Source organism: Homo sapiens, chromosome 11 (genome assembly GCF_000001405.40).
Source record: "Homo sapiens chromosome 11, GRCh38.p14 Primary Assembly".
In the NCBI taxonomy this organism is placed as follows: domain Eukaryota; kingdom Metazoa; phylum Chordata; class Mammalia; order Primates; family Hominidae; genus Homo; species Homo sapiens.
The window spans coordinates 58,617,090-58,639,962 of record NC_000011.10 but is presented as its reverse complement, the minus strand read 5'-3'; the positions used below and the strand labels follow the sequence as shown (position 1 = coordinate 58,639,962).

The window sequence follows — 22,873 nt, the reverse complement described above, 5'->3', positions numbered from 1 at the left end:
ATATCCAACAGCTCAAGCTTGAAGAGGTTATTATTGTTCTCATTCTGTAACAGATGAAGGAAGTGGGACTCAGGGAAGAAAGCCGTGAGAGTGGGAGGGCTCAGCTGATGAAATGACAAAACCCAGATTTCAATTCAGGTCTTGAGAAGCACCCATTCCTCTGGCCAGTGCTGCCTCTCCCCATACAGGGTGGAGAGAAAAGACTTCTGCTCCAAGCACACTGTTAGAACCAGCTGGAACCAGGAGCAATCCCATGCTCCTTTCCGTGAGCCTTCTTTAATTGCAAATGCCCTAAGAGGGATAAAAAATCAAGACACTGATACTGAATAGAAAGGAGAAACACCACACATAGATCAGTGAATGGAAATTGTGCTTTGGCATCAAAGAACCTGGATTCAGATGCTAGCTCTGTTGTGTACTGTGACCTTAGGCATTTTACCTGACTTCTGTGGGTCTTAGTTTGCAAATGTGCAAAAGTAGAATGGTGAGAGGGTAAATGAGATTATAAAGCACATATTTCAGAGGCTCATTTAGAGCAGTAGCTAGTCTCAGAAAAAGGAGGAGCCCCTAGAGGGTTCCAATGATGAGGCCTGCGAGGATGCTGGGGTTTCAAGGCTGCAAGCAGGCACTGAACATGTCCGTGCAGGGGGAACTGCTGGACAGCGGCTAGAAAAACCTAAGTAATGCAGAGCTCGGGCTGGCATTGCAGCAAGTAACCACCTCTTTCCAGACCATGTGCACATGGTGCCAGGAGGGATAGGGTCATAGAAACCCAGGCAGAGCTTGTTGACCACTGGCTCAACTACACCAAAGCCTGGGCGGCTCCATCAGTGCTAAGCTCCGCTTCCTCCCCAGCCTTAATGGTAAGTTCTCAGCCAAGTGCCAGAACGTCAAGGCGTACAACCCGGGGTTCCATCAGGTTGTAGGTCACAGCCAGAGTGCAGGTCCACCACAGCATCTACTCTCTGAAGGTCCCAGAAACCCCTGATATTCAGCCCTGCTTCTCGCAGCATGTGCGGACCCTCAGCAACCACCTGGAGAACCACCCAGACCCAGGAGGCCAAGTACCTGGCAGAGATGCTTGTGCTCAGGTATGGCAAGCATGTCCTCACCCACGTGGAGGCAAATACTCGTCACTGGCAAGTTTTTTGTGCCTCAGCTTGGTCCTCTTTAAAATGGAGTTAGTGTGTCAAATTCCTAGGTTACTTGAGAGGATTAAATGAGCTAATGGAAGCAAAGCACTTTGGAACACTCTCTGGCCTTTCTAAATGTGAAAGTTCATATCTATGACGATTTGCTGCTGCTTTAGGATTGAGATCCCAGAGTCAGATCACACAGACCGAGGCTCAAGTCCCAGCACTGCTGCTTACTGGCTCAGTGACCCTGGGCAAATTGTCCCACCACTCTGGGAATTAATCTCTTCTCTAAAGTTGGGATAATATTAAAATTGATGTCATAAAATTACTGTGATGATTAAATGAGATACTGCAAGGAAACCCTTCCCCATAGTACCTGGCCTGTCACCTTGAGCTGTCATGATGTGGAATTGACCATGATGATCATTCTGATGGTGATGTGAGGACGTGAGTGGCAGAGTTCTATGTACCATGAAGAACATAAAGATGTCCAACCAGGGCTCATGGTTGAGTGGGGCAGATACACCTAATATATAAATTACTCATTGTGAAATGTGATACAGCTTCAAACATTTTCTATGGGAAAATGAAGGAGGGATACAAATTCTGAGAGATGTCTGATAAGGCTTCTGGAAGAGGATGGAATTTCTGCTGCATCTTGAAGATTAGATGTGAGAAAGAAAAGAAGGACTTCCCAGAAAGAAACAGAGTTTGATCCAGGGCTGGGAGCAGGAGCACCAGACTCCTTCTGGCCTCAGCCAGACACACATAGATTTGTTCAATTCTGCTGGCCTGGGAGAATCCTTTCAACAGCAACTGGAAGCTCCATTATGATGGCCTCAGTTCATTTCTTTGAAAATATCCCCAGGCTCCGGAAACTGAGCTCCCTGACTGAGAAAGGTGAGGTGGGGGCCAAGGCAGAATAGGTTTTGGCCTGAGGTTTAAAAAGAAAGGTGGGAGAGAAGAGAGAATGGATTATCTTATAAGTAGAGTAGTCATATAATTTATCATCCAAATCTGAACTCCGGTTGAAACCAAAAAAAAAAAAAGGTGTTTTAATTATATGGGACAATGCTCATAAACTGGAACGTATGACATCCACCTTGATATGACTGTTTGTCATTGGGCCCTGACCTCCCTTGTCATCCTGATCTCTAGCTAGCCTTCAGATTCCCCCTCCCATGACACACTCCCAATATGTTCCACACACTGATCCCCTGATGTGTCATGGTGATTCCTGGCTGTGCCTTTGCCTGATGAAGTCTAACTCATTAATCAAGACTGGGTTCAGATGTCAGCTCCCTTGAGAATATGTCTTTACCTGCCCCTCCTTCTCACACACACATACTCCTTCAATCTCCCAGGAAGAAAGCATCTCTTACTCCTCTTGACGACCACCCAACCTTAGCAGTATGTTTATATGAGCATGTCACTTGGCATGAGTTCTTTTTCCAATTTGACTAAGAGCTCTTTTAGTGTGGGGAGGGTTGGTGTTGTCCTTATTGTAGTTACTGCCAGGGCTCAGCCTCAGAGCATCAGACAGAACTCTGAGATAGGTGCTGTAAATTTTAGAGGTATGTGCTCTAAAAGTTAGCTGAATGAATGAGAGAAAACCAGAAAGAGGTCTTATGAAGCCTCAGGTGATAGGAACCAGCTATTGGATTCTTTTAAATGACCTGCCCCTCTTGGATTCTTAAGTGTATTATTATTTCATTCATAAACCCGTTTTGAGCCCCATTTTTGTCCATTGTAAGTGCTATCATAAATACAAAGATGAATAAAACTTAGTTTTCACTGCCTCAAAATATTCTAGGCAAGTTGACCAAAAAATAGTAAACAACAGAGAAGGCAAAGGGGGAGGTGGTAGCATGTGTAACCATATGGTCTCCAAGTTCCTTTTAGAACCCTGGGTCACCGGGTGGAGGGGCTGCAGTAATTCCACCCCAGCTGATGATAGCATGGTGACTGCTGGGCTACTGGCCCAGAGTTGTTCCTTGGACGTTACACATTGTCTTCTCCGGAGCAAGCTCCTCTTGGACAATTAGGTTGTTGCCCCCTATTGGATACTGTAAGTTATGTAAAATGAAGAGGTCTTCTGCCTTATTTTGACTTCTAGAAAGCTTAGAACCAAATTCTGGTCATTTCCACAACATTTCTGTTGCTAAACTCAATCTTAGTTCCAACTTTTCTTTTTTGTCCTCATATTCCCTCTTGAATAACTCATTTTTCAAATTTGTATATGATATGTATTTACAAAAAAAACTATATGTTCTTTTTTAAAAATAAAAAGAAATGAGTACAGAGCTGAGTAGCTGTGGAGGAAGACCTAGTAAACCTCTGAAACCCACCTTCTAGGCCCACTCCTCATTTCAGCCCCAGTCTCACTCCTTTAGCCTTGCTCTTGGTCCAAATTCCATCCTGCCTGGTGATAGTTCTCGTTACCTCATAGAGATGGGCTGTCATAAACCAGATATTCTTCAGTTCCTAAAAAATTTGACAATGAAAAATAAATTTAAACTTAATTTCAAAACTATGTTGAGACTAATTTTTTTAAACCAAGTGTGTGTGTGTGGAGGTGTGCAAGTAAAAGTGGGGTGTGTATGTTGTAAAAAGAATATGTTGCAGCATTGAAAGGCTGGGAATCACTAAGTTGTAGGTAAACAGATCGGCAAGGTTAGGGGCTCAAAAATCAGACGGAGTTCAAGGAGTATCTGCTGAGCTTCATGGTTTGGGAGTCTGGGGTTGGGAAAGTATGAAGTAGGGAAGAAAGAAAGATCTTCTTTCCTTTCATTTAACTTATTTATTCATTCATTCATTCTTAAGAAGGATTGTGCTGTGAATAAAATGCACTGAAGGAGAAAATATAGGGGAAAAAAAGTCTTTGTGACCTTGGGTTAGGCAAAGATTTTTAAACATGACATCAAACGCACAACTGTAAAAGAACAAACTAATAAATTGGACATCATCCACATTTTAAAAATCAGACTAAGAGGAGGAGAACCCAAAGGCTCTGAAGCACAATATTCATCTAAAACTGAGGTCAGCAAACAAGACCCACAGGACAGGCACGTGTTTTTGTAAATAAAGTTGTTTTTGGAATACACCCACACTCATTTGTTTATGTATTATCTATTGCCTATGAACAGCTGTGACAGAGACCTTATACCTCACAAGACTAAAACATTTACTTTCTAGCCCTTTAAGAAATAGCTTACTAACGCCTAATATAAAGCACAGAATGCCCAACAGATGCCCAGGATATATTGATCCCTTCAACACTACAGTAACCCAAGTGGTTAACTGAACTTGCTACAGATACTATACCTATGATGGTCCGTTTTCTCCAGCCTAGAGCAGCTTTCTCCTAGAATCTAGATCCCCCAATTTGTCCCAGTGTGCCATAAAAACATCATCATTTCTATGAAAAAGGTTGATAGGCATTGGTATGAAACAGTAATTCTCCCATTGCACACCACCTTGCATTCTTTCCCTCACTATCTCTACCTGCCTTCCTCCTCTTAATCAGGTAACATTTGGTGAGCACTTATCATATGCCAGAGAATACATAGCCTCTGCCTTCAAAGAGCCCATACTCCACCAGGAGAGAGCTATATACACAAATAATTAATATGCAATGTGTTATGTAATATAATAGTTATACAAAGAAAAAGTATTCCCAAATACATAAATTTTAATCGCAGCTCTGCAACTTTGTGATTTAACCTTTCTAAGCTTCAGTTCTCTCATCTATAAAGTGAGAATGATATCAGCTATCAGGAAGTGCAATGGGTTGTGTTAAGGATTAATAGAGCTGCTGTGTGCAAAGCACCTTTTTCCATGTCAGAGCTCAATGTCCTTGTCTGTAGCAGTGGTAGTGACAGTAATCAGCAGTAGAAGCTGTACTGATGGAAGATAATGTACAAGGTAAAGTTGCAGCAAAGAGGAGACAGCAGTGATAGCAGGGTACTAGTCAGGGACATTTTCAAAAAGATGACATGGATCTTGAAGCATGAACAGGAGTTAGTTATGTGGAGATGGAGGAGGGAGCATGGATAGAGTAAAATAAATAACATGAAACTTTCCTTAGGAGATGCAAATTTGCCCAAGATGAGAAATAGAAAGTGGGTGGTTTACCAATATGCTTTAGGTCTACTAAAGTTCTAGTGACCCAGAATCAGAGGAGACTCTGTGCTTGGATTTGAACAAGAGGACCCTTTTAGCTCCCTTTAGAACTAAGGCAGAGGAAACAAAACAAAAAAAACAAAAAATAAACAAACAACAACAAAAAGAACTAAGGCAGAGGATGTGACATGACTCCGGAGATTTTTCCTTGTCTTTCCTATCCTTTCTTCTTGTCTTGGTCTCTTTAATATTGATTTTTTTTTATTTTTTATTTTTTTATTCAGACAGAGTCTTGCTGTGTTGCCAGGCTGGAGTGCAATGGCGTGATCTTGGCTCACTGCAACCTCCGCCTCCCGGGTTCAAGCGATTCTCCTGCCTCAGCCTCCCGAGCAGCTGGGACTACAGGCGGGCGCTACCACGCCCAGCTAATTTTTGTATTTTTAGTAGACATGGGGTTTCACCATGTTGGCCAGGATGGTCTCGATCTCTTGACCTCGTGATCCACCCGCCTCGCCTCCCAAAGTGCTGGGATTACAGGCATGAGCCACCGCACCCGGCCTAATGTTGACTAAGAGGGTCACTATCTATATCTACAGAATGAAATCTAAATTCCTCAGCATGATGTTAAGGCCCTTCAGGACCGAGCCCCAATCTTCCTAACCAGCTTCATTCTGTCACTCATCTCTTCACTCCTTTCCCCATGCTTCCTATTCTCCATAATCAACTCAACATACTTAAAATCTAGGCTGGCAATTTTCTATGCTATGCCTAATATCTACTCCCCTTTCCTTGTTTCCTGCCTAATTTATTCTCTATCCTCCTAGTTGGGGAGGGAGTGCTCTTTGGTTCTTCTCTCTTCCTAAAACTCACCATCCTTCTCCATGGCTTTCCAGGCCAAATCCTCTGTCATGTTTTTCAGGGCTGTCCTCTTTTGCTCATCATTTTAATTTGGCTTTTCATCATTCGGATTTTTTTCTCCCACACTCTTGCCCCTATAAGCCCATCTGCCCATAGCAGCTTGAGTACTCATTTAAATAAATATATACCCCATCATGTCACTTTCCTGCGTAAAACTTTCCAGTAGTTTCTCTTTGCAGTGTTGATGCCCTTTAGCCCAAACCACTGGGACAATGTCCACAGTTAGACAAAATTGGGTTTATTGGCTTGTTGCAATGAGGAGAGAGGGCACACGATGGGAGACTTTGGAGCACCCCAGTGAGAAAGTGTTTGTTAGGAGGGATTTGCTGTAGGATTTGGAGTTGGGTTAGTGAATTCTGGTAAGGAATTAATGACGTGTGGCTTTGCTCTGGATTGAGTACTGTCGGAAGAGCAGGGGCAATTCTAAGACTGCATATCTTGGTTTTGTTTTTTAAATCTGAGAGCTGTTCTTTGTTATCCAGGTGGCAATGCTAATCACACACTGACCTGTTGTCTGTGCTCAGCAGTTAGAATAAAATCCAGATCTCTTTCTATACATAATCTTGTCACTAACGAGGAGAAAAAAATGTACTCCTGATGTCCAAAATTGATCTGATGTTTACAGCTCGGTTGCAATATTATTAGAAGCTAGTCTGAGGCTCATAGCCCAGTGAGCCTAAAAAATCTAAACAGTATGATAGAATAACAACCTCAGACAAAGTTACTCGGAGACCATGATAAAATGAAACAAAACAAGGTCACTTCATAATTTTGTCTTGTCTAAGCATGGATAAAAACAAGGTCACGCATGCACAACTCACAAAATACCCATAGAATTGTCCCCACTTTCTGACAGCATCCAATCCAGAGCAAACCTCTGCTTCCTTAGAGCTACCCCCAAATCACCGGAACAAAGCCTAAATCCCATAATAGGTTCTAACACACTCTTACTGAGGCATCTCAGTGTTCCCCAAGGTGTACATTTCTCCTCTTTGCAACAAGTAATAAACCCAACTGTTTAACAGCTGGTGTGTTTTTCAATCTTTGGCTCAAGGGCCTTGGCACAGGCATTGTTCCCCTGCTCACCTGACTAACCTGGCTTCAACCAACTTGGCCTTCCTTCAGTTCCTTGAAGATAGGAAGTTCATTCCTGCCTTGGGGCTCTGCACTTAACATTATCTTTCTCCTACTAAGGCCCACTCATGCCTAGCTCCTTCTCATCAGGGAAATGTAAACTCTTAAGAATTAAAGGAAAGGAAAATGGTAAAGCTTTCTTAAAAATGGCAGAGTAATAATGTAAGGCATACACCAACAATGCCTACAGAACAGGCTATGCTTGTGTTCCAGTCTCTCACACTGGCTGTTGCTAAGGCTTTACTAATGAGAAAACCATAAAAATTAATCTCCCAGTCCAAGTTTTGCTCCCCTTTTGCTTAGATCTTTACTAGCTGAGACATTGCTGGGAAGTTCCTGAGCAGCTCATGATTTGGGTGTAGAGCCATGAGGCCCTAGATAACTGTCCCTGTGGGCTTTCCACTCTTTGCCTTAATGGCCACTACTTTCAGTAATTCTGTATCACCTTTTCCATTTCCTACATAATTCTTATCACCTTCTAAATTATACTATTGTGTGTCGCTGGTCTTCCTCTACCAGAATGCACATTTTAAGAAGTCAGGGACTATGTGTGCTCATCTTTGTCTCCTAGTGCCTCTACCATTTCCACGAATAACTAAAACATATCTTACCTTGAGCATTACAGCATCTTAATGGGTTCCTCTACCTCCAGTCACTCTCACCTCCAATACAGACATAACTGAATTACTTTTCTGAAACAAAGTGTAGATGCTGGCACTCCCCATTCAAAAACCTTTCAAAGATTCTCTCCTCAAGGTGTTGTCACTTCACTCATCTCAACTTGTCTTCTACTGTAGCTCTCAGAGAGCTCTGAACTTCAGTCATGCTGAATGGTCCCAGACGTGCCACATGCTTTTCAGCAGCCAAGCCTTGACAAGTGCAGTGCTGCTTCTTTTATCTAAAATGTTCTTGCCCACTCCTCTCTTGTTTTTTCCTGAGGGCAAAGTCCTAGTCACCCTTCAAGTTCTACTCCCAAATTGCCCCTTTTGAGAGGTCCCCTCTTTGATATTTCCTTCTGTCCTTCCACAGCTTTTTGTTGTCCACATGACACTATTGACTGCACAGACTTCTCTCGCAGTTGATTGCACACCTGCTGTCTTTCCCAAGACCGTATTTCAAGGGCAGAGACCTATCTGCTCTCTGGGCCTTGGTTTCTTCATTTGTAAACCAAAGATCTTTGTACCTACCTCACAGGGTTCTTGTGAGGCGTAAATGAATTAATGCATGCAATTGGAACAATTACTGGAACATAGTAAACACCATATAAATATTTGCTCCTATTATTATTAATTTCTGTACTCTTAGTACTGGCCTAAAGCAGATGTCAATATGTATTGCTGAATTTGGTTGGAGTAGGGCAGGAAACTTTCAAAAGACTGAGCTTTAGAGATTAGAACCAGGTTGGGAATATTGGCCTTTTTTGTTTTTTCAGTGTCTTTTCAAGTTATTTGTTGTACTAGTCTGTTCTCACACTGCTAAAAAGACATACCAGAGACTGGGTAATTTATAAAGAAGTTTAATTGACTCACAGTTCCGTATGGCTGGGGAGGTCTCAGGAAACTTACAATCATGGTGGAAGGTGAAAGAGAAGCAGGCACCTTCTTTACAAGGTAGCAGGAAGGAGAATGAACGCAGGAGGAACTGCCAAACACTTATAAAACCATCAGATCTCGTGAGAACTCACTATCACGAGAACATCATGAGTGGGTATGATTCAATTACCTCCAACTGGCCTCTCCCTTGAAATGTGGAGATTATGGGTATTACAATTCTTTTTTTTTTGTTTATACTTTAAGTTTTAGGGTACATGTGCACAACGTGCAGGTTAGTTACAAACAATTCAAGATGAGATTTTGGGTAGGGACACAGCCAAACCGTATCATTTGTGTAACCTCCAACGCTACCACCATCCCAAGCTTTGGAGACAGGAGTCAGGGATTAAGAGAAGAGAAATTAGTCCTAAACCTTTACCTTACCTGTGGAATAAGGGTTGATCTGACATGAAGACACCTGCTTCAGAATATTATTTATTTAATTTAATTTATCTATCTATTTTTGAGATTGAATCTTGCTCTGTCGCCCAGGCTGGAGTGCAGTGGCACGATCTTGGCTCACTGCAACCTCCACCTCCCGGGTTCAAGCGATTCTCCTGCCTCAGCTTCCTGAGTACCTGGGATTACAGGCGCGCGCCACCACGCCCAGCTAATTTTTGTATTTTTAGTAGAGACGGGGTTTCACCATGTTGGTCAGGCTGGTCTCAAACTCCTGACCTCGTGATCCACCCACCTTGGCCTCCCAAAGTGCTGGGATTACAGGTGTGAGCCACCATGCCCGGCCCAGAATATTATTTTTAAAAAGCTTCCCTGAGTGCCTTGTTCAAACGACACTTACCCTGAAATGAGTAACATATTTAGCCATTACTCAGAATGCATTCCTCAGAATGGGCCACATCTTTCCCCCATCATATCAGGGGAAGGATGAAATATAGCACCCTCAAATTATAGTAGAGGTGGGGGTTGGAGTGGCAAAAGAAGTCTGGATGAGGTGCTGTTCCTAGAGCTTCTAAAGGATTATTAGAGTTGAGGGAGCTAGAGGGCGCTGCATACAAGAGAGCAAGAAAGACCAGATGTTTCCTAAAATGAGGTTGGTTTGATGGAGAAGCAGGAAAGTGCAGCCAGGGGATCCATGGACTGTAGGTCTCATTCTGCCACTTTTTAGCTGGGATGTCAGGGCAAATTGCTGAACCTCTTTGGCTTCTTCATGTTATGTTTAACGAAGGGATTGAACTAAATGAAGTTTGAGTTCCTTCTGGTATTAACAGGAGGGTGTAGGCGTACGGTGGGATGATTCTAAGTCTAAACGCATGCTTTAATGTATCCTGGGCAGCTCCTTAGACGGCATGTTTCCTTGGCTCCCTCTGGAGCCTACCAGGCTTCTCCAGGACTTGTCTGACCATGCCTACCGTGAAAGCTGCCTCCTGGGTGAATGGCCTGGGTTGTAACTCTCCAGGGAAGTGGATGATTCCTGGAGGCTGTGAGTGAGACTGCTGGGTCAACCTCCAGTGGCCAAAGGCCAATAGGCACAATAGGGTGAAGTTGAGGCTGTGGCCAGATCATTCCTGGTAAGCAGGTGGTATTCTCTGAGATACTTAGGAGCTTGCTCCTCAATCAACTCTGAATCCAAGCTACCTGAGGCATTAAATATACCTGATGATGTCTGCATGTCAGTTACAAGTAATTTCAGATACTCAATTTGTCTATAACAACTGTGTAGTTAGCTATTTTTCATCATTTTCATTTCACAAATGAGGAAGCTCAGAAAAAAGAGTGACTTGTCTGAAAGTTTAGAAACTTATATAGACTTCGTTACAAAGCAAAATTCTGTACAAGCCTGTATTGGCTTTAGCCAAGGAGAGTGGATTAGAGACAGAGAATGGATTTCAGAATAAGAGAATTTTGATTACCAGATGTCCTATGGCACAAGATGTAGTGAAGTGAGCTTTAGAGCCAGAATTAAGACTCCAGCCCTGTCAGGTGCTAGAGGAGGAAATTTGGGCAAGTTAATGCTCATTCTCATTTTCCTCATCTAAGAGATATGTCAGAGGATTAAATAATATAAAATAATGCAGAGCTGCCTGACATGTTACATTATTCCCTTTCATACTACCTTAAATATGTGGATAGAAATACAGAATCTCTCAGTAACTGTTTCATATTTTCCTCTATGTGATTTTCAACAATTTGGTTTCTACCTCCAACCTGACTAAAAATGGGCTAGTCAGGGTTCTTCTCTTGAAGTCAAAGGCTTAATGGGGGGGGGGGGGTGGTCAGCTACTTGCAATTAAGCCATATAAAAGGAAATCATTCTCATCTGCAGTCTAGCTGATAGGACTACGTATTCAGAGGGCAAAGCATTGGCCTGGTGATATAGGGGCAATCTACCTTTTCTAGGCTGACTGGCCCTGGGAGTTTTGCCCAGTGTGAGTGGCCTGGCACCATGGAGATTTACTCAGCACGCTTGATTGGGCCTGGCCCTGGCTAGGAGGATTATGCTTCATCCAATGCTGAAGTCACTTGAAATTCCCCTCATTCATCCAAAGATACAGAAAAGAAGTAACTTATGGTATTGCTGAGAAAAGAACTTTATTGTTAGCTATTCTTGCATCTTTTGTTTTCTATGTGTTCAAACCAGATTGATCGAAATAATCTTTTATATTAAGAATCATAAGCACATAGATTTTATCTCACACCCAGACACTTCATCAAACCATCAAATTATCTTATTCTGTCTTTATCTGTAGTTCTCAGAGGGCTACAGAAGCCAAGAAATGAAGTTTTTATCATTTTTCGCTTTTGAATGCACCCACATTCAGAGAGCTCATTCTTGGGTGGGTCTGACGCTTGCAGTGGAGGTGGGATGAGGCAGGAGGCCAAAGCATTCCTTTTAAGAAATGTCCTGACCTAAACAGTACATTAACAGTACATTAGTCACACACGCGCGCGCGCGCACACACACACACACACACACACACACACACACACACACAGAATCAACTGAAGTGAAATCAAAATTCTACTCCCCCCTACCCCCTTCCTCTTTACCAATCCCCTTTACATCCTGGTGGAGGTCTCTCTGCTTCCCGTGTCTCTATTTCACCCCTTAACAGAGATGCTCAGGTACCTCATGAGGAGCTGAGGATTCACAAACAAAATTCAATCTAAATAACTTTTCAGATATGTCTTCCTGAAATATTTACTAGTCCTCTCCCTGTCTGACAAGTGATCACAACAATGAGTCATCCTTTGGGCATTGATCCATAGCAGCTTGAAATAACAGCAATACCAGAGCTATGACTTTACATTTTCCATTTTTATTAAAACTCTCCCTTCACTTAAACCTGATTATCTTAAGGCTAATTTTATTCCATGCTTGGCTTTCAAGTTTGTGCTGATTTGCGAGCCTTTTCCAAATCACCCTCTTACATGAATGCAAGAAAAACTCTCATCCATGCAATTCCTTGACTCAGGAAAACAAGATCTCTTTACCCACAGAGGACTTTTCAGAAGGTACTCTCTGAAAAGGAGGCAGAAGAAATTGTTTTTACAAAATGAGTTAGGGCTAGAAACTAAATCTATGTACCTTAAACTATAATTCAATCTATATAGTTATACCATATATGATTTCCCAGAGATCTTATCCATATCAGATCAACAGAATAAAACCTAATGAACAAAATCTTCTTGGGGTTCTATATTCCTAAAAAAACGTAATTCCATAGTGTCATCGTTATCCTCTTCTTTACTATAAGGCACACATCTAGAATACTAATCCATTCAGTCCCTTTTTCTATTTATCCATTTCAAATAAACATGATGCAATGTCTACACATTCAGATCTCATACATGTTGATTTTTGTTGCATGGTCTACTGCTCATTTCCCCTTTATCTTTTTCTAAGATTAGCTTTCCCCACACTTCTTTTGGGTGCATATTGTATGCTTCCTGAAAGACAAGTACACAGCGTTTTGCAAAGTGCTGACAATGCACTTGGTAAAGACTTGGTGATTCTGTGACTTAATTGTGACTTACACATTTTTCTATCTCCTCCCATTCAGTGGTTAGTACTTGTGCCTTTTGTGGACCCTCTGCCACTTCAAATCCGCCTCTTATACATACATATTCCTTTACATGCAACTCATGAGAGCTTAAGCCAAGCTCCACTGAGTTCTGAAACTTCTGCAGATGTCTGCTGCTGTACCTGCTGAACATAAAAACACTTGGAGAGGGGACACTCATTTTTTAAAAACATTTTTGATGGAGGGAGTATGGGGGCAACATCTTTTAATTTTTTATTTAAAAAATTTCAAAAATTTATTTTTACATGTATAATTGATGGGGTCATTTTAGATGCAGCAAATTCATAGTCAGTTATTCCCCATTAAGAAATTGTAGACATATTTCTCCATTGAACAGAAGTATTATCCAGATAGCTCTAAGAGCTTCATATTAATAAGCAGAAATTTTATTATTTGAGAATGCTGCTGTTAAGCAGAATTAAGAGAAAGCTTGAATGGAATAAGACTATACATTCAGTGCCAAAATTACAAATGATCACCTCTTCCCTTCTCTCATGACTTCTCTTTTGTACTCAACCAGTACAGAGTATTTTGTAGTTTTGTACTGAGACACAACTCCTACCTCCTCCGGGAAACTACTTTGGGCCCCTCTCCTTCCTTTAGCTTCCTAACAAACCTGGGACTTATAATTTCGACTATGTGTGTGTGTGTGTGTGTGTGTGTGTGTTTGTGTGTTTACAGAATCTCTGGTATCTCCAGTGAGAACAGAGTAGGCCTCACCCTCTCCTCATGACTAAGTCCAGAGAATGTGAGGTGAAGGAGTTCTGTGACTTTTTAACTTGAGTAGTATTCCACTCACTGTCCACAAAGGCTTGGGTTACACTGTCTGCATCACTGATCACAGTAATGTACGTGTGTGTGTATACACACTCACAACCATATTGCCACAAATGCATATTAGAAAGCAGGGCCTTACTTTCCCTGAACTGTTACAATGCCTAGCCCAGAGTACTCTGGTAATAGTGACTTCATGGAGTTTTGTACACACACCCATGTGAGAAAGGATACAAGCTAAGCTACTCATCCACACCTCATGAAACCTATGGGAGTTAGCCCTGACTCATGGTTCATTTACGAATACAGAAGCCCCAGTTAATTAAATTAACTTGGTCTCCCAATCCATGATCTTGAGTTTTAATTGATAAGTATAAAATAAATGACACACTTGAAAATTTCTGGATTCACATCACACCACCAGTACATGGCCTTTTCCATTAATGTCCGCATTGACCAACCTTTCATACTATGTTGGTTCTTACAAGAAATAAAAGCAGAGCCTGCCCCTTTGTTGTGCAGCACAGAGGCTTTATTCTATAGTTTCAGAGTCTCTGGTATCTCCAGTAGGAACAGAGTGGGCCTCACCCTCTCCTCATGACTAAGTCCAGAAAATCTGAGGTGAAAGTTTGACTTTTTAACTTTAGTATTCCACTCATTGTCCACAAATGCTTGGGTTACACTGCCTGCATCACTAATTAAAAGTGAGGTAACCTGGTATAAGCCGTGCCCAACCCAATATTTGAGAACTTTTAGTGAGTACTTAAAAACCAGGCTGTATTACTAAACATCCCCAGCTTCCAAAGTTCAGAAGTTTGGCGGGCCTAATCATTTTCCAAAATGGAATCTTAAGATCTCCAGCTGCCCTCCTCACCGCCAAGTATGAACAATAAATCCTGACTTTAACGCTAAAATTTGCAACTGACTTCTGAGGACATCTAACAGCAGCTGTTTTCCAGCGATGGGAATAGATTACATGGATGCATCTTCCAACACCCTGTGACAAAGAGGTGCAGTGATTCATGATCAAGCCTCTAAAGTGAAAGGCACATAGGCTTTTACAAGGAGAATGATCTGTGTTCAAACTCAGTGTGCTACTTGTTAGCTGTGTGAGCTTAACCAAATCTCTGTGAGCCTGTTTTCTCATCTACCTAATGGGAGTAACACCACCTTGCTCACAAGGTTGTAAACGCTGTACATAATATACATAAAGACCCTTGGCATACTGCCTTAATATAGAAGATAATAAAAGTTAGCCATTATTATTCTTATTCTCTAAGAGTTTAAATCAACTAAAGAGTCTGATTTTAAATTGAATCTTCTCAGACCGAGTCATCCAGGACTAGAATTAACATATGTATATTCTGTCTGTAAGGCAGTTAAATGCCTGTAGAGGTTACTTAGTGGGTTAGAAAGGTTAGAACCCTGAAGTGGAAGGACGTTGTCCCTGCTCCCACTCTCTTACACCTGCAGCACATGCAAGCACGCACACAAATCACACCCCCCAGGCTAAACTTGTATGCCCATTTGTGTATGTCTCCAACGCTACTTGATGAAAATACCTGTAGTCCTTCAACAGGCTGCAGGTGGTCAGAGAAAAAAGAAAGAAAATGCCTGTTGTCTTAACTGTTTTTAGAAATTTAAGATGGGAAAGCGAGGCCCCAGGGAACTACGCATATTCCATTAGAAGAGAAAGCAAGGAAGAGAGAAGGGACTAACTGCTACATTTTCTTGTTGTTAGCAATATAATGGCTCCCACGTGCTGGGATCCCAGTCTGATGAGAAGAAATGAAACGAAGGTCATGGATGGACCTTACTGTCCACTGTGAAAGCTCCTGCAGCACCTTTAGGCCCCACAGCTTCTTCTCAAAGAGACCACCATCTCCAACATTAATAGGCATCCCATCAGCCTCATTGCGGGGGATCTTGTATTCCAGGAGTATCATTAACTCCTCTATCTGGTATGCAAAGGCAGCGACTTGGAGAAGAAGGGTATGTATAGCTTGATGGAAGTCACCTTCGGTTGGGGTAAAATGCACCTGCTGGTCTTCTAAGAGCCTGGCCAACAAAACATGGAAGGTACGATAAGCTTGAAGGTTCTCTTGGAGTCGCTCTGCCTCGGTCAGCTCACTCCACTGATCAGTGCTTGCCACTGGCATCCCATCCGCAGAGTCCAGGTTGATGTTCTTGTTCAGGCCCTGATGCTTCACCTGGCCGAGGATACAGGAAAACACCACATCTTCTGTCATCACCCCAGTGTCCTTAAATCACCCCTAAATTTCATACAAAATCTCACTCATCTCTCTGGCCAAGGATCCAAGTTGTAAAGTAAATAATATGTCTACAGTAGGAACTCTTAATTTGGGCTCTATGACTGGACTTTAGAAAGACCCAATACTGCCTGAAATTGACTACCTATGGATTTTTCTTAGAAGAATGTTCAGATTTTATTGAGTTCTAAAGGTTGAAAACTGATTTAGAAGAATTTTTCCTTCTCACTTCAAACTCTCTCATTAACTGGAATATTTTAATCATATTAAAGTATTTTTAAACATACTTGTAAAAGACACTGGCCACAACTAGGAAAACTTGGAATATAGCCATTGTAGAATTTCTCTAACTTCCCTCTCCCCATTGAGCACTCCCAAAGAGTCTGATTTCTGTCTGGTGAGGCTGTACAAAGATAAATCAGTTCTCAGCCTAAATTCAAAACTCTCCACAGGGGTTGGAGTATTTCCACAGCATATCTCAGGTGGAAATTGATGGGGATCCCCTTACTGTTAGAAGACAAATCTGGAACTCCAGAATTAGCTCAAGAATTTGACACTTCCACAAGTTTCCAATGAATCTTCTAGGAGATCCTTTTGATAGCTTACCTTTCTCTTTAGACACAATCTACTTTTGATGCAGAATACTAAAAGGTGGGTGGCTAATGCTATATAGGAGAAATTGGTAGGATTTACAAATTCCTCCCACGTTCATAGTACTCTTCCTATCCCATAAACCTTTCATTTACATAGCTAAAAAATTCAGAACAATGGCTATGAAGAACCCAGAGGGCCCATGGCTAATCTGTTCTAGTAGTATTCAGAATATATGCCAATAAATTTGGAATAGCCTCCAAGACATATAAACCAATCCTTTCTAGAACTCCATATATATTTTCTCATTCAAGTAACTTCATCTCCTAAACAGCCCAGAGGAAGAAAATAAAGTCACATGGGTTTCCTCAAGGGAAGGGCCCATGTCAAATAACCTATATGAATGACTATATGATTAGAGCTTTCACAATTGGTAATGGAGCTGATGCGTGATGGTAAGTTGCTGGATCAAAAAAGATGAAGGGAAAACAGATAACAGCAAAATAGGCAACTTACATAGGATTCCGTAAGAGCAGTCAGGTCTGAACGAATCTTCCTTGCTAGCCAGATAGAGCGGCTACAGAGGTCCCGACGGTGAGGGGTCAGCGGTGAATGCTCTGTGAAAGCCATCCCTTAACTCAACTGTCCCAGGAAACAAGTCAGCTGGGTTTACTTCTGTCTATACTGGTCCAAATAAGAGATGTGACTCTCAAAGACTAAACCCACTGGGCATTCTCTACTAATGGGATTGTGCACCCCACCCCCACGCCCTGCCTGACTCAGAGGAGGTAGCAAATTCCTGGCTGTGGATTTTTGTGCCTGTGGAATCAAAGGGCCCTTTTTAATCAGATTTTTTTTCCCCTGCAGCGTCTGCCTCCATCTCTCTCCTCCACTCAGTACTTAGCACACTTGTTTCTATGTCATTGTTTTGCTTTTGCACTTAGCAACAAGGTCACTATCATACCAATCCTCATGGCACCCCTGCCTAATGTAATCTATCTCACACACTTAGAATTAGTTCATTTTATTATCATTCTCCCTTATGCTTCCCATGTCTTTTTTCTCATAGGCTGGCGAAATGTTCATTCAATAAAATTGTTATTGACACAGCTGCCATTTATTAAGTATCTACCATGGGTCAGTCAGTAAGCTAAATACTTTAAAGCAATTCCATTTGATCTTCAGAATATTTCTGAGGTAAATGTTATTTCTCCATATAAGAAACTGAAACTTCAAGAAATAACATGCACAAAATCAAGTAACGAGGCTTGAATTTAAATAGAAGTCTGATTCTATAGTTGTCTCTCCCACTGACTTTCCAATTTCATTTTCTGTTTAGGTAGTTCACATCTTGTTCAAGAAACAAAGGGTGTGTGAAGTCCTTTAAAAACAGGATTTTTTTCACTCCTAACCTTACGTACTTTTTAAAGGTAATTTAATTTATACTTAAAAATCAAGCAAGGAAGCATCTCTAATTTCAATCACGGTGCCTTCCTGGTAGCTACATAGGAGGAGGAAGGTACTGTTTAGGCCTGTTCTCTTCCAAAGAACAGGAAACACCCAACGCTAACTTGGTAACATTTCTAAAGCAGTCTCACTCAAGTGACAACATGCTTTCCTTTTTTCTCCCCTACCCAGTCATACCACATGCTTCTTAAAATAAGAGAATGAGCTGGGCTTTGAAATGACAGTATAAAAGTTAAAAGGTACTTGGAGGGTTGTCATTCTATTGCATTTAACTTAGAAAATGATGCTTATTGGGTAAGGGCTAAATGAAATAATTAGCTTTCATTATTTATATCATAGATATTGCCAATAAGCTGAAACACATACCATCTTAGAAGCAAATTTATAAAAGTAAACAATAAATGGGAGATGTAACAGAGCAGCCTGGGCAGCTATCACAGCATGGCTTTTGGAAGGCAGAAGGATTATAGTTTTTTCTTTTTTAAAATAAAAATCAGTACTTGATATAAACATTCAATTTTGAGAAGAAGTATTAATATTAAATGCTATCAAGGTTTTGTCATTATCAGGGTAAAATTAACCTCACATAATCCTTAATTTTCCATCTACTAGGTTAATTAACATATGGCCAGTTTTCCTAGGAGGCAGTTGTCAAAACATCAAGATTTCCAAGTTTGCTGAATAACAGAATCATGTCATTTCAGCATTAGAAATCAAGAACAGTCAAAAATTAACCACCTGATTCTCAACAAAAGCAAACAATAGTATGCCCCACATAACACCTGTTCTGAGGGCATTTGGTTTGCTTAGCAGCATCACATGTTTCACCCCTAGGATAACTGTAACTCAGTACAACCAAGGAAGACAAGTTGCTTCCATGAAGACAACTTTTATTTTTCTTCTTTACATATTTATTTTTAATATGCCTTACCTAGAATAAGAGAAAACAAAGATTTGAAAAGCAAAGTATCCCTTTTATTATAATTTCTTTTTACATAACCTTTTCAACCTATATTCAGGTAACTACCTGTCTCTCCCATGAAAGGAGAAGGGTCCTGCACATTACAACAGGCAAAAAAGGCTTTTAAGAAATAAAATATTTTAAATTGATCCATTACATTTGTTCAATTTTCTTGAGTACATTGGAAAGTGGGAAAAACACAAAAGGAGAAAAAAATGGTATTTCAAACAACCAGACTATAATAATCTTAGTTAGATTGGTAGTACACTCATTATACTTTTTCCCCAAACAGGTACAAAGGAGGTTCAAGTGCTCTATGTGGATGCTAGTCTATACCTCGATATTTTTATTTTACTCCCAGTACTCCCACGGCCATGGCCAGTGTTTGCCTAAATTCTCTGAAGCATATCAAGGAGTCTCAGTTACGCAAAACAACCTTGGGCAACCACAAAGAAGAGGGATGCACATCTCCCAGAAATATTAAATAGCTGTATCTCAACTACAGTTTCAGAATTTAGAACCACCAATTCAAGATGGAAATATGCAGTGGGAAGAGTTATTAAAAAGGTAACAGAATTTGACTAAGAGCATGAAATGTAGAACTTTAAGATTAAAAGAGCTCCCTGGAAGGACAATGAGGCATATGGAGCAGAAGGGAAAGCAGGGAAACGGCTGAGATAGTTTAATTACACCAACTCTACTATGCAGCATCCCTTTATCAAAAGGAAAAATATAAAGTCTATAAAAAATATTTTAGTATTGCAAACTGCTGCAATAATTTATTGTAGGCAAATGGTAGCTATAAAGAGGGTCCTTGACCCCTAAAAGAAAAGAAAAAGTACAGCAAGTTTCTAATTAGTAGAACTAACTAGTTGTTTTTTTGTTGGGAGAGCGGTATAGGAAAGGAGAATACATTTTCTCCCATCTCAGAAAGATTTTTAAAAATGCAGTTTGCTTTTGTGTAGGTGGCTAAAATATCTGATGACTAACCACTGCAAATGAAATTTACGGAGACAAAGGATAAGTGTGACAAAAAAGCTAAGTGTGGAATATAGATGCTAGTTAGTCAAAAAGTGTAAAAGGGACCTGAGAGGAGGACAACTTTTTTGTAGATTCATCTAATCAATCTTGTATTTTCAAATCTAGTCAATATACCAAAGTCGACTCCAAACCATGTTGGCAGGAAAGCATATTCTACATCCCTTCTATCTTTATTCCATTTTCTATCCCCATATTATGGAGAAATGGCAAATCTGCAACACTCTGAAAAGAAACAATAGCGCATTTGAGACTGGTGATTGTAGGTGTCTCACTCTCTGTTCCCTGGCATCCCAAATGCTGACACTAGTTGGTATAAAGTAAGCCTCTTTCAGAAATGACATTTTGTTACTCCTCTTTTTGGGAAAAAAGAATTCTTTGAAAAAATTGATAAGCCATGTTTGTGAAACACAAACTGTTCTTTTTTTTTTTTCCAGCAAAACGTCATTCTTTCCAAGAGCCATCATGCATTTCTGACAATAAACAATGAATAGGGTAAGCCTTCGATTCTAGCTTCTGAGGCACACAGGATAGGAATTACTCTTTACCTGAAGATGAGCCAAAATAGGATTTGGGGCTTCTGGCGGTATGACCTTGTACAAAAACACTACCTTTTCTCTCCAGTGAACAGCAATAAGCAATCTATTCCCCAACACAACCTCTATCCCAAGGAAATTGTGATGCCCAGAATTTTAGGTGAAAGCCAAAGCAATTATTATATAGGATTATTAACTTTGGCTATTGAAGTTTTTCCTCTTCAGAAGTGTTACTAAAGGGGAAACAGAGCAGTTTTCTTTGACTTAAAATTTTAGGACTCATAGACTTTGTTCCTTCACTAACAGCAGTGTCCTTCACTAACAGGGAGCTGGAATGAACTGATAAAGCAAAGCAAGAAACAAAAAGCAAGGAGCCAGAGATGGGCCCCAAGGGAAATGTAAGGAAATGGTAGGGACAAAAAAAAAGGAAAAGAAACAAATTCACAAGAAACAATCATCTATCTGTAATTTAGATTCTGAACAACCCTCCTCACCCTCTCAAAATTCTTAAGTTTCAACACTGTAAAAATCTCAAAGAGCATACTAGTTACCATGAACCTAACATTCTTCCCTAAAAAGGCTTCCAAAAAAGCACTAGGCTATTGTAGTGATTTTGTTAGTGCTGAGGACCAGCTTTCTTTAAAAGCCACTGGAGAGCTATGATTTCAGAGGCTGGCTGTGCTTCTTCAACCCTATGTCTTGCCTTCAAAGTACCTGTTATGGAAGGGATCCCATGTCAAAATAATCTAATCTCTCTCTCCCAGCCCCACAAAATATAGCAACAAAGACTCCAAAAAAAAAAAATCAGACTTCCTGTTAATAAATAAGGAATCTCAGGTTCCACAACACAAAAACACACATGTTCAAAGTGCAAATTTCTGCCATTAGCCTGGGACTTTTCTCATCGTCTCACTGATACAGAGCCCTGTCTTACAGTCAAAGAGACTGTAGAGGGCAGCCCCCTCCCTATTGGGAGCCTGCTTCCAAGCAAGTGAGCACCATTGAGAGCCATATGGAGGGTTGGGAGGGGGACTGAGATGCTGGGATCAAAGAAGGGGGAGGTGGTCCCCATATATCCTTCCTTTCTGAAACCCAGGGGGGAATAAAGGAAGAGGGGATGAGAGATGTGTGCTGTTTTAACAGCTCACCCTGCTAAGGGGCCCTAAAGTGCCAAGTCAAGCTGCCAGCCTCCAGAGATTAGAATTCTATGGTATTTGAAGATAAGTGTGCCGCAGGGGGTAGGAGCCAGAACCATAGGGCAGCAGTAGAGGAGGAGAAGGGATTTAGAAGACAGTAATATATGATTAAAAGTTAAAAGCTGATCCAGAGCACATCAGAGTTACAGGTTGGAAAGGGGGATCTGCCGATGAGCAGGAAGTCTGCTGATGGCTGGAACCGAGTATGAGAATAACCCTCACTTTAAGAGCTGCTGCTGCTTCTTTTTTGTCTACCTTTCTGGTAAAGACAACATCAATTTTATAAGGGGAGCAACAGAGGGAGAACAGGGGATGGGGAGGTGGAGGGTGTATGTATGTGTGTGCTGTGATCCACAATGGAAAGAGCAGGCCCTTCAGTTATTTCACTAGATTTTAAATGCTTTAGATTTTTTTTTTGTCCTTTTTAACTTTTAAATACAAAGTCTGAGCTGTCCCATGCCCCAAGTCTTCCTGTCCACTAAGGTCCGGCAGAGTCTGAATCTTCAATCAGAACCTCTGTGGTAGCACCGAGTATATCTGAGTTCATAACCAGCCCTTCAGTGCCTCCACTGCTGCCGCTTCCCACAAAGATCTTCCCATCAGCCATCAGGCTCACCCGTTCCGTCCCACTGCAGTATGACTTTGACATCCCTTCAGCTTCTAACAGTAGGCACTCTCCAGAGGTTGAGTTTCCCAAGGGCTCAGGAAGAAGAGGAAGACCCTGACCATCTGAAGGCTGCGTCAGGGACTCTGGGTTAGTGCCCAAGATATCTGTGCTGGTGATGAGGGCGCCTGCATTGGCAGCCAGAGCTTCTGCAATCAGCACCTCAGGGTGGCTTTTTGCCTTGTGTGCCACTACGCTGTCCTTCTTCTCAAATTTTTTGCCACAGATATTGCAAGAAAACTGGTAGAAGGAGTCTGCATCATGTTTCTTCATGTGCCAATTAAGAGATGCCTTTTGTCGACAAGTAAATCCACAGATCTCACATCTAAGGAGAGGAGAAAAGGAAATGGCTGATCCAACAGAGAAATAAAGAGTGCTCTTATTCAGGATCAGGGTTAGAGTTTAGAGCATATATATACATACACACACAC

The 22,873-nt window shown here is 41.3% G+C and overlaps 2 protein-coding genes and 1 long non-coding RNA gene across 4 annotated transcripts in view; all 3 read right to left on the bottom strand.

Annotated features, from left to right (window-relative positions):
* CNTF (ciliary neurotrophic factor) lies at window positions 14,230–17,298 on the bottom strand. The gene is made up of 2 exons (NM_000614.4): window positions 17,097–17,298; window positions 14,230–15,929 (listed from the first exon to the last, which is right to left on the bottom strand). Exons 1-2 carry the CDS (start codon window positions 17,208–17,210, stop codon window positions 15,441–15,443), a joined length of 603 nt encoding a protein of 200 aa, NP_000605.1. The 5' UTR covers window positions 17,211–17,298; the 3' UTR covers window positions 14,230–15,440.
* Window positions 14,230–22,873, bottom strand: part of ZFP91-CNTF (ZFP91-CNTF readthrough (NMD candidate)) — a 46,620-nt gene continuing 37,976 nt past the window's right edge. The window contains exons 11-13 of the long non-coding RNA NR_024091.1: window positions 22,395–22,767; window positions 17,097–17,197; window positions 14,230–15,929 (exon numbers count right to left, since the gene is read on the bottom strand). This is a non-coding gene — a long non-coding RNA (ZFP91-CNTF readthrough (NMD candidate)). The remainder of the gene's footprint in view (window positions 15,930–17,096; window positions 17,198–22,394; window positions 22,768–22,873) is intronic.
* ZFP91 (ZFP91 zinc finger protein, atypical E3 ubiquitin ligase) overlaps window positions 18,413–22,873 on the bottom strand; it is a 42,488-nt gene continuing 38,027 nt past the window's right edge. For both annotated transcript variants that reach the window (NM_053023.5, NM_001197051.2), the window contains exon 11: window positions 18,413–22,767. In NM_053023.5, the coding sequence (NP_444251.1) occupies window positions 22,257–22,767 (511 nt within the window). In that variant the 3' untranslated portion in view covers window positions 18,413–22,256. The remainder of the gene's footprint in view (window positions 22,768–22,873) is intronic.

Coding starts and splice junctions, on each gene's coding strand:
- CNTF (NM_000614.4), bottom strand. CDS start 17,210: ATGGCTTTCACAGAGCATTCACCGCTGACCCCTCACCGTCGGGACCTC. Junction 15,930..17,096: donor CTGCTCTTACGGAATCCTAT/GTAAGTTGCCTA, acceptor ATCCTCGGCCAG/GTGAAGCATCAGGGCCTGAA.